The sequence below is a fragment of the Homo sapiens genome, chromosome 1 (genome assembly GCF_000001405.40).
Source record: "Homo sapiens chromosome 1, GRCh38.p14 Primary Assembly".
In the NCBI taxonomy this organism is placed as follows: Eukaryota; Metazoa; Chordata; class Mammalia; order Primates; family Hominidae; genus Homo; species Homo sapiens.
Genome location: NC_000001.11, coordinates 144,563,111 through 144,574,269, shown reverse-complemented (window position 1 = coordinate 144,574,269; position 11,159 = coordinate 144,563,111). Strand labels below are relative to the sequence as shown.

Below are 11,159 nucleotides of genomic sequence, written 5' to 3'. Positions count from 1 at the left end.
TTTTTGACATCTATTATAGTTAAATGTATTTTCAGCATTTGCATATTAAAGGAATAATATTGATGCTTAACTTCATTAGTGATCAGGGAATTCCAAATTTTAAAAAAATTTTTTCATCTCTTATAGTATATTTAAAAATTCATTGCTGATAAGGATTCAGGGATGCCAACATTGTACATTGGTAGTGAAAATGTAAATTGGAAACTTTCTGTAATCTGACAGTAATTATTTTTTTAAAAATCCTTTTGAACTTGCAGTTCTACTTTTGGGATTTGAATTTATGGAAAGTAAAGTGCCAGTGAGAAAGAATATTGTTGCCCCTTGAACAATATAGGGTTAGGGGAGCTGGCCTCCCACACAGTGAAAAATCTGCATACAAATTTTGATTCCCCCCAAACTACTAATAACCTATTGTTGACCAGAAGGCTTACTGATAACATGCGTTACATTTAAGACATATTTTGCATGCTATGTGTATTATATACTGTATTCTTACAATAAACTAAGCTACAGAAAAGAAATTATAGTCAAGAAAATTGTAAGGAAGAGAAAATATATGACCCATTCATTAAGTGGAAGTGGATCATCCTAAAGGTCTTCATCATTGTTGTGTTCATGTTGAGTAGGCAGAGGAGGAGGAGGAGGAGCTGGTCTTTGTGTCTTAGGGTAGCAGAGGTGGAAGAGGGTGAAGGGATGGAAGGGGAAGCAAAAGAGGCAAGCACACTTGGTGAGACTTTACAAAAATACATCATTATTTCTGTCTATTTTGCTTTTTCATTTCTCTAAAAACATTTCAGTGTAGTACCTATCCGTCTTCCACCATTTGCTTTAGTTTCAGTTCCTGTATCATGGAACGGTCTATGTCATAAAAGAAGTCAAAAGTAGTCTTGAATAATCAAAGTTCTTTTGCCAGATTGTTGAATGCCAATTTGTTTTCTGGCACTGCTTTTCCTATGTCTTCTTCCTCATTATCTGGCACTGGTTAGGAAGCACTCATCTCCATGAAGTCATCTTTTGTTAATTCCTCTGGTGTGGTGTGTATTAGCTCTTAAATTCCTCCAAGATCCATATCTTACAACCCTTCACTCCACACCTTTTTTTCCCTTCATATCCATACTTCTTTCCATGGTTTTCTCTAAATTGGGTTTGTCGTAATTCTGTAGCTATGCACAACATCTGGACACAAATTGTACTTTTGTCCAGCAGGAATTTATTGTTTTGAGTTTCATGGTTTTCTATATCAACTGATGACATCTTGAAAGGTGTAAGCCTCCCAGACTTCCATGATGTTCTCTCTATTGGGTTTCTCTTTTGGAATGTTGACAAATCTTTCCATAGAGTGCCATATGTAGAGCCTTAAAGGTCCTTATGACTCCCTTATCTAGAAGCTGAAGTAGAGATGTGTTTGGGGGGAAAGGAGAACACTTCAGTGCCTTTGGTGTTGAACTCATGGGGTTCTGGGTGGCCAGGGGGCATTTTCCAATTAAACAACAACAACAACAAAAAACTTTAAAAAGCAGTCCCTTATTGGCAAGGTACTTCTGACTTCAGGGACAAAGCATTGATGGAACTAATCCAGAAAAAGCATTCTCATAGTCCAGGCCTTCTTGTTGTACAACCAAAAGACTGGCAACTAGTGTTTCTCTTTTCCCTTTCAAGACTCAGGGGTTAGCAGCTTTATAGTTAAGGGCAGCCCTGATCATAAACCCGACTACATTTGCACAAAGCAGTAGAGTTAGCCTATCCCTTCCTGCCTTAAATCTTGGTGCTTGCTTCTGTTCCTTACTAATAAATGACCTTACTAATAAATGATTCTCCTGCCTCAGCCTCCCTAGTAGCTGGGACTACCGGTGCCCGCCATGACGCCCGGCTAATTTTTGTATTTTTATTAGAGACGAGGTTTCACCATGTTGGTCAGGCTGGTCTCAAACTCCTGATCTCAAGTGATCCACCCACCTCAGCCTCCCAGAGTGCTGGGATTACAGGTGTGAGCTACCGCGCCCAGCCCGCACCTGCAGCTTAATCCCATTTCGCTGGTGCAACTTCATCCTTCCGTATGCTCAGGCCAATAAACAGTACTGTAGGCTGGTCGTTCTTTGACCCCCATACATCCTATTGGTCGGAAAATTATGTTTTCTCTTTGGTTAACCGCAGACTTTGATATGCACACTCTTTCTTGGTCTGAAACCCACCCAATAGTCCCATACGTAGATTTTTGGATAAACATAGAATTGGACCCTTCTGATCTGAAAGTTTGAAACTCGATATTTGTTTTATTTGAGTTCCTTCCTTCAGGCCTCTCAAAAAAGATATCAAAGAACTGAAAGTCACCCAGACAATGAGATGCCGGACCCCTCATTCATCCTGATTGCTTCCTTGCCCCTCCCTAGTTCCTGTTTTCTTTCTTTTCTTTCTTTTTTTTTTTTTTTTTTTCTTTTTGCGACAGAGTCTCCCTCTGCCTCCCAGGCTGGAGTGCAGTGGCGCTATCTTGGCTCACTGCAAGCTCCGCCTCCCGGGTTCACGCCATTCTCCTGCCTCAGCCTCCCGAGTAGCTGGGACTACAGGCGCCCGCCACCACGCCCGGCTAATTTCTTTTCGTATTTCTAGTAGAGACGGGGTTTCACCATGTTAGCCAGGATGGTCTCGATCTCCTGACCTCGTGATCCGCCCGCCTCGGCCTCCCAAAGTGCTGGGATTACAGGCGTGAGCCACCGCGCCTGGTCTAGTTCCTGTTTTCTTACACATTGTCACATTCTTTCCCTGCCATCTAAGCCTCTAGTTTTGGTTGGTCAGGGAGATGGATTTGAGACTGAGTTCTCATCTCCTCCGCTGCAGCACCCTATTAAAGCCTCTTCCTTGGCAATAACCGTCTCAGTGATCGGTTTTCTGTGTGGCAAGCAGCGGGAACCCCAGGTCTCTGAACTTTGGCAAAGGAATCTCCTGATAAAGGCGGGATCGATTTTACTGACCAAGCTGAAAACGATCAGACGTTTGAAAGCCTTAATCTCGGAGCCTGTCGGAGTTTGGTCTGCCCTTGAGGCTTTTCTTTGAGCCTACCAGTCAAAATCAGCCTGGCCAAACCTGTCTTCAAGGACCAGGGGCAGGGCCGGCTTCTCCCGCCGGGTCGGCAGCCACCTTCCCCTTCCCTGTGACTTGAAGAGAAGCTTCAGGGGGCGTTTATTCAATTTGCGAGGAGCCCGCGAGGCGCAGGTGCGCGGTGACTCTGTGGTTCCCACCGCACCCGCTGCCCTCTTTGGTCCTCTCGCTGTCACCGGCGGGCAGTAACGTTCCGGGTGAGCTAGGGCTCCGAAGACAGCAGGCAGGGAGGGACCAGTGGGTAAGGGCACCGCCCGTTTAGGTCCTGCGCAGGAGGGATCCGAAAAAGGTCTTGAAGAAATAGAAAGGGAGGGCCAGATGCGGTGGCTCACGCCTGTAATCCCAGCACTTTGGGAGGCCGAGGTGGGTGGATCACGAGGTCACGAGTTCGAGACCAGCCTGGCCAAGATGGTGAAACCCTGTCTCTACTAAAAATACAAGTAGCTGGGCGCGGTGACGGGCGCCTGTAATCCCAGCTACTCAGGAGGCTGAGGCAGGAGAATCTCTAGAACCCAGGAGGCGGAGGTTGCAGTGAGCTGAGACTGCCCCGCTGCACTCTAGCCTGGGCAACACAGCAAGACTCTGTCTCAAATAAATAAATAAATAAATAAATAAATAAATAAATAAATAAATAAAAAGGGAGAGTTGGAAGTAGATCAAAGAGAAGAAAAGAAATCCTAGATTTCCTATCTGAAGGCACCATGAAGATGAAGGCCACCTCTTCTGGGCCAGGTCCTCCCGTTGCAGGTGAACCGAGTTCTGGCCTCCATTGGAGACCAAAGGAGATGACTTTGGCCTGACTCCTAGTGAGGAAGCCATGCCTAGTCCTGTTCTGTTTGGGCTTGATCCTGTAGCACTTGATTGTCTCTCCTGGACTTTCCATGGATTCCAGGGATGCAACTGAGAAGTTTGTTTTTAATGCACTTACTTGAAGTAAGAGTTATTTTAAAACATTTTAGCAAAGGAAATGAATTCTGACAGGTTTTGCACTGAAGACATTCACATGTGAGGAAAACAGGAAAACCACTACGCTAGAAAAAGCAAATGCTGTTGAGATTGTCTCACAAACACAAATTGCGTGCCAGCAGGTAGGTTTGAGCCTCAGGTTGGGCACATTTTACTTTAAGTGCACTGTTGGTGGAACTTAAGGTGACTGTAGGACTTATATATACATACATACATATAATATATATACATATTTATGTGTATACACACACACACACACACACACACACACACACACACACACACACACACACACAGGGTCTTGCTATCTTGCCCAGGGTGGTCTCCAACTCTGGGTCTCAAGCGATCCTCTGCCTCCCCTTCCCAAAGTGCTGGGATTACAGGTGTGAGCCACCTCGCCCAGGCCATTTTAATTTTAATTTAATACTTTTAATTTGAATACACAATCCAAAAATCATATAACAAGTACAGGAAACCCACTTTATGCCAAGTTTACAAAAACAGGAAAGATATGTCAATGACAAAGCGTCAAAGTGGCAACATCCTAAAGTACTGAGAGAAAAAAAGTTATTCTAGAATTCTATGCCAAATTGAAATATCTTTCAAAAATGTGACTGAAATCAGGACATTTAAAGACATACAAAAAAATGACAGAATTCACCGAACCACACTACAAGAAATATTAAAGGAGTCCTCCAGGCCTAAGGATAAGGATACCAAACAGAAATCTGAACCTACACAAAGAAATGGAGACGACTGAAAATCGCTATGTACGTACTTGGATGTTGGGGTTTATAACATGTCCAAAATCAAATTCCCTGACAACACTAACATAAAGGCCAGAAGGGGAGGTATAATGTCACTTGATGGCAGACGGATAAAGATGTATTCTAGGGACCCTAAAGCCATCACTGACATAACAAAAGAAAGAGTTACAGCTAATAAGCCAAATAAGGAAAGAAAATAGAATGATATATAAAAAAAAAACATGTAATCGCTGGGTGCGGTGGCTCATGCCTGTAATCCCAGCACTTTGAGAGGCCAAGGCAGGCAGATCACTTGAGGTCAGGAGTTTGAGACCGGCCTGGCCAAAACGATGAAACCCCGTCTCTACTAAAAATACAAAAATTAGCCCGATGTGGTGGCTCGCGCGGACCTGTAATCTCAGCTACTTGGGAGGCTGAAGCAGGAGATTCGCTTGAACCCGGGAGGCGGAGGTTGCAGTGAGAGCTGAGATGGCGCCACTGCACTCCAGCCTGGGTGACAGAGCGAGACTCTGTCTCAAAAATAAATAAATAAATAAATAAATAAACAAACAAACAAACAAACAAAAACTGTGTAATCCCTATGCTGGAGCAACTGCTCTCCAGGCCTCTACCGTATAGAAATACACAAATGGCCAATGAGAAGTGTACAAGAATGATCACTGCCGAATTATTTGCAATCATAAAATAGTAGCGCCAAAGTAATTTCAAAGATACATGAAAATCGTTTTATTTATTTAACAAACACAAACAATTGAACAAACAATGGAAGCAAGTCCTTTTGCCTAAAGGAACACAGAGGGTCATGCGGATGTTGCTCCTCCAAGGATTTCGGTGTTCCCCAACGGCTAGTTTTGGGTCTAGTTCTTCTGGAAGATCTTATTCTTGGGGAGCTACAGGTTCTGGCGTTTGGGGCTCTTTCAGGTTCTATCTCCATTTTCCCCTCAATTCCTCCCCATTCTGCTATAATAAAAAAAAATTCTCACCTCCGGAAGATCCCGCCTGTGCCTCCCCGCCAGCCTTTCAGGAGGTCTGGACGTCTGGTCCACCGCTCCCCGGCTTCTTTCCCCGCTTTTGCTTTTCCCCTCCCCTGCTCCCGCCCTCCGGCCTCAGGACCCGACCACCGCCCAGCTGAGCCCCCGCGGCTCCACGGCGCAGAAGGGGCACTGGAGGCCCTGCCCGTTGCCGCCCCGCGGGGTGCCAAGAAGTCCACGTAAATAAATGCTTTGTAAAAGGAACTTCCCCATGGAAAAATCTCTCATGATTTCTTCTCAAGGCTCTTCAAAGGACTAAAAGCTAAAAGGATGGATTCATTCGACAAGTCCTAGTCCTGCGCCCTGGTGAGTGCCAGACCCTGCTCCCCGCGAGGGGGACCCACGAGCCACCCTCACCACGATCCCTGCCCTGGTGGAGCCCCCGTGCGGAACACAGGATCCGAAGATGGCAGCGGAAGATCCGCAGCGGCCCCAAAAGCGACTGGGCAGGGAGGGCACAGGCTCCCTCACTGGGTGAAGGCGGCGCAAAGAACGGGAAGAGCCATCCCGGGAGCCACCGGGCGTTCAGCCTCCCTAGGGCCCCCAGGCGGTTCGGGCCGGGGTCTCAACCGGGGCGTTTCCGGGGGTTTCTGAAGCAGGTGAGGGGCAGGGCGGGCGAAGGCCATTCGGCTATCCTTCTGGCTCCAGAATCTCCCAACGCGCAGGTGTCCAACGTGACCAGCGCGACTTACCGCTCCAATCTCTCCGGTCTTCCAAGGCCTGCTCAGTCGTCCTGCCGGGCGGGCCCTGAGGATGCAAGGGACGGAGGAAGTTTCGTGCGTGCGCCCTTCCTATAGCGCCCAGTAGAACTGACAGTACCTGTCTCTGTGGCGCAATCGGTTAGCGCGTTCGGCTGTTAACCGAAAGGTTGGTGGTTCGAGCCCACCCAGGGACGCTTGTTTGAGCTTTTAAAGTATTCATGCATTGTCAATCACTAGATAAATGGGGAAGATTTTATCTTCCTGGAGTCCTAAGCCACTAATTTGTGACTTATCCATGTCAAGGGCCAGCCCACCTCCCCAACCGGATTCTTAACCGGGTATCTCCTGAAATCCTGGGTTTATACGTGTGTAACTCAGGAATCCTGAAACAGAGACCTAGGAACCCACTTCTGGTGTGATAAAATTCTAATTCAGTCCGTTATACGCTTAAACGAGTAATTTACATGCCTTCATTTTTTCATATGTTAATAATAGGAGGTCAGTAATATCCCGAGGATGTGCCTGGATTTACTGATTGCTCTATCAATAATGTGACCAGTGGAATCATTCATCATCATAGTGATCCTCTCCATCATTTTTGAAAAAGAGTATTTTTCCTCAGTTTGTGCATGATTTATTTAACCCTTTTCAAAATGTTTTTGTTAGCCAGGCATGGGGGCATGTGCCTGTAATCCCAGGTACTTGGGATTCTGAGGCAGGAGAATCATTTGAACCTGGGAGGTGGAGGCTGCAGTGGAGGCTGCACCAGTGGAGGCTGCACCACTACACTCCCGCCTGGGCAACAGAGCGAGACTCCATCTCAAAAAAAAAATAAAAATAAAAAAATAAAGTTTTTGAGATGAGGTAGGTTTCATTGTTTTAGGATTACAAAGAATGCTGCAGCCACCTTTCTTGTACACATGTCTTTGGTCATTGTGGAAATGTCTACACCGCAGATATTTCTATAGTGTAGGGAAGTTGATGCACTATTGCTACATTATAGGGTTTACATGATGCTTCTAATTTGAGTACATTCTGCAAATGTATCTTTCACGGGAGCCGTACCAAATAATATTCCAATAGCAATATTTATAGGAGGAAAAATGTGCAGAAGTGCAATTGAGCTTCGTGCCTCTCCATGGGGCCCATGTTCATAAAATGGTGGCATTAGCAATCATCTGAGAGTGGAGATTGTGGCCCTCTGACATCAAAAGCTGAAGCAGAGGACATGAAAACCCTCACTGTGCATCCTCTCTAGTCTGGCCAGAATCATTCCTAGGTCGGTGGTCTCTTATCAGGAGGGAATGCTGCTTGCTTGTTTTGTCAACATCACAAAACTGAGGAAAAGCATCAGGCCGTTGGTTGGTAACAGTGGTGAAGCAAGTCTTTCCAAAGGGCTGGTTTGTTGTTAACCCTTAGGGAAAAAAAAAGCCTAATTCTTTTTTTTTTTTTTTTTTTTTTTGAGACGGAGTCTCTCTCTGTTGCCCAGGCTGGAGTGCAGTGGCGCGATCTCGGCTCACTGCAAGCTCCGCCTCCCGGGTTCAGGCCATTCTCCTGCCTCAGCCTCCCGAGTAGCTGGGACTACAGGCGCCCGCCACCACGCCCGGCTAATTTTTTTTATTTTTAGTAGAGATGGGGTTCTACCGTGTTAGCCAGGATGGTCTCGATTTCCTGACCTCGTGATCCGCCCGCCTTGGCCTCGCAAAGTGCTGGGATTACAGGCATAAGCCACCGCGCCCGGCCAAAAAAGCCTAATTCTTACCAGCTGGTGCCGTGCAGTTCCAGGCTCTTGGTGTCCCAAACAAAGAACTGTACATGACACACACAAAGCAGCAAAGCAAAGCAAAAGTTTATTAAGCACAGTAACACTCTCAGAGTGGGGAGGGTGGGCTGACCTCTGGGAGATGAGATCAGTATTAGTTTGGTGTACTTGGGGTCTTTTGTGTTTGTGTGTGTGTTTTTCCTTCTCTTCACAAGGATGCCTACTGTGTTTGTTTGTTTGTTTGTTTGTTTGTTTGTTTGTTTGATGAGGCGGAGTCTCGCTCTGTCACCCAGGCTGGAGTGCAGTGGCACGATCCTGGCTCACTGCAAGCTCTGCCTCACGGGTTCATGCCATTCTCCTGCCTCAGCCTCCCCAGCAGCTGGGACTACAGGCGCCTGCCACCACGCCCGACTAATTTTTTTGTATTTTTAGTAGAGACGTGGTTTCACCGTGTTAGCCAGGATGGTCTCGATCTCCCGACCTCACGATCCGCCCGCCTTGGTCTCGCAAAGTGCTGGGATTACAGGCGTGAGCCACTGTGCCCGGCCAAGGATGCCTAATCTTTAGCCACTCTTTGCCTTTTGATTGATAGGTGGGTTGCTTAGTTACTTTGGCCCTTGTGTGCTTGAATGCTGCTTCCATCCCATAATTTTAAGTACATGCATGATATGCAGTCTGTATGCATGAGCTTTAATGAGCTGATTATCATATGAAGTCATGTTAAGGATACTTTTTCTCTCTAATGCACATGCCTGTCTCTGAAGAGCTGCCCCTTTCCTGGTTTGGATCTTGCTGGCCATGGGGTCCTTACTTGCTTTTTTTTTTTTTTTAAGACAGGGTCTCGCTCTGTTGCCCAGTCTGGAGTGCAGTGGCACGATCTTGGCTCACTGCAACCTCTGCCTCCTGGGTTCAAGCAATTCTCCTGTCTCAGCCTCCTGAGTAGCTGGGAGTACAGGAGTGTACCACCATGCCCAGCTATTTTTTTGTATTTTTAGTAGAGAAGGGGTTTCACTACATTGGTCAGGCTGGTCTCGAACTCCTGACCTCGGGCGATCCACCTGCCTTGGCCTCCCAAACTGCTGGAATTACAGGGGTGAGGGGCTGCGCCCGGCCTTGCTTGCTTTTTTTAATCTTACTTTTTGTTTTGGCCGCTCAACTGCTGCCTTTTATCTTGCTTCTTGCTCTCCCACCCCATCACCTTGCTTCTGTTTCTGCTTTTACTCATTCTGCCTTTTATCCAACTTCCAACTCCCTCTGCTGTTCTCCTGCCTCATAATGGCGGTTAGCGAGGGAGGGGTTTTAAGGGGGGCATGTCCGACCTCCTATCCTGTCACAGCCAGAAACAGCTTTCAAGGTTTCTCTGTGGTCCTGTCAGCCAAGAGGGGAGTCCGTTCAGTTGGTTGTAGGGCCTAGGGCTTATTTTTATTTCTCAATCCTGACAAGGGAAGGCTGGATTAATGCAGATTCTCTGCAGGTGTAAATTTCCCCTACAAAAGACAGTTTTGCAGAGTTACTTCTGTTTGCTGGCTCTCTGACAGCCATCTTAAAATATGCCAAAGAAATATATTCTGGGGTAAAATATTTTGATTTTTTCGTCTATCTATAGCTTCACCATGCTGACAGCCTCCAGTCCAAGCATACCTGAAGCCTTTCCTTTTAAAAAGCTTTTCCACCCTTCTGACTGCCTTCAAGTCTCTGCCAAAACACAAGTAACAGTGGCTGACTCCCTGCCATAGCAAGCTCAGAATAAATAGCCTTTGCTTTTTTTCATTTGGTTGGTCTTCGTTTATTTGCAGAAGCTTCAATGTAGAGTTGACAAGGACTCCATCTTTGACCAAACCTTAGTCAGTTTCCTCTGAGCCCTTTTCTCTATTAGTTCTTGGCCTGTCAAGTCCAGTTTTAGAAAAGAATACCGTCGAGCCTAGTTTAGCAAGAGTCCTACCAACCACCTTTGATAGCTAATCAAGTTCCTCTTAGTAATTTTCCATCCACTGACTTTCTTACCTTGCCGATTGGCTATAAATCTTCAACCCTTCTTGCTGTATTTGGAGTTGAGCTCGGTTCTCTGCTGGTCTCTCTTGCCTACTGCAGTACATACAATAAAATCCGCCTCATGCTTTTAACAGGTGTCAGGGTAGTCCCTCTGAAACTACTTTTGCAAAATTATGACAATCAGAGAAATCTGACATGGCTGACTCCATTTTGGTTCTAGCCTCACAGGCTAGCTGTCTTTGCTCATTCCTGTGCAATTTCTCCCAAGCTATCTTTGGGAAAAGTTGAGTTTATAGTTTAAATCAGGGGTCCCCAACCCCCAGGGCCACAAGACAGGTACTGGTCCATGGCCTGTTAGGAACCCAGCCAAACGGCAGGAGGTGAGCTGTAGGCTTTGGAGCATTACCACCTGAGCTCCGACTCTTGTCAGATCAGCATCGGCATTAGATTCTCGTCGGAGCTTGGACCCTGTTGGGAACTGCGCATGTGAGGGATCCAGATTGCACACTCCTTATGAGACTGTAACTAATGCCTGATGACCTGAGGTGGAACAGTTTCATCCGGAAACCCCCTTCCATGGAAAAATTGTCTTCCATGAAACCAGTCCCTGGTGCCAAAAACATTGGGGACAGCCAGAAAGGTGGGTTTAAATGATAACCTTCCCCAAAACTAAATTACCCCTGTAAAACTAATGAAAGGCCACCAAGTTAGGAGGATGAAAGGGACCTGAATTCTACTAAGATGTATGCCTCGTTAAATAATTACCAGCCATTATTCCAGAGGTCACAAGATTTGCAGCTTCCCCAATTACTGCTGTGAAGAACATCACTATTGCAGAACCTAA

At 46.2% G+C, this 11,159-nt stretch overlaps 1 non-coding gene and 1 pseudogene across 1 annotated transcript; both read left to right on the top strand.

The window, feature by feature from the left end:
• Positions 1 to 3,797: 3,797 nt before the first annotated feature.
• On the top strand, positions 3,798 to 6,657 carry LOC107985110 (uncharacterized; annotated as a pseudogene).
• A 24-nt stretch (positions 6,658 to 6,681) lies between these two features.
• TRN-GTT2-8 (tRNA-Asn (anticodon GTT) 2-8) lies at positions 6,682 to 6,755 on the top strand. The gene has a single exon. It is a non-coding gene; the product is annotated as a tRNA-Asn (tRNA).
• The last annotated feature ends 4,404 nt before the right edge of the window (positions 6,756 to 11,159 follow it).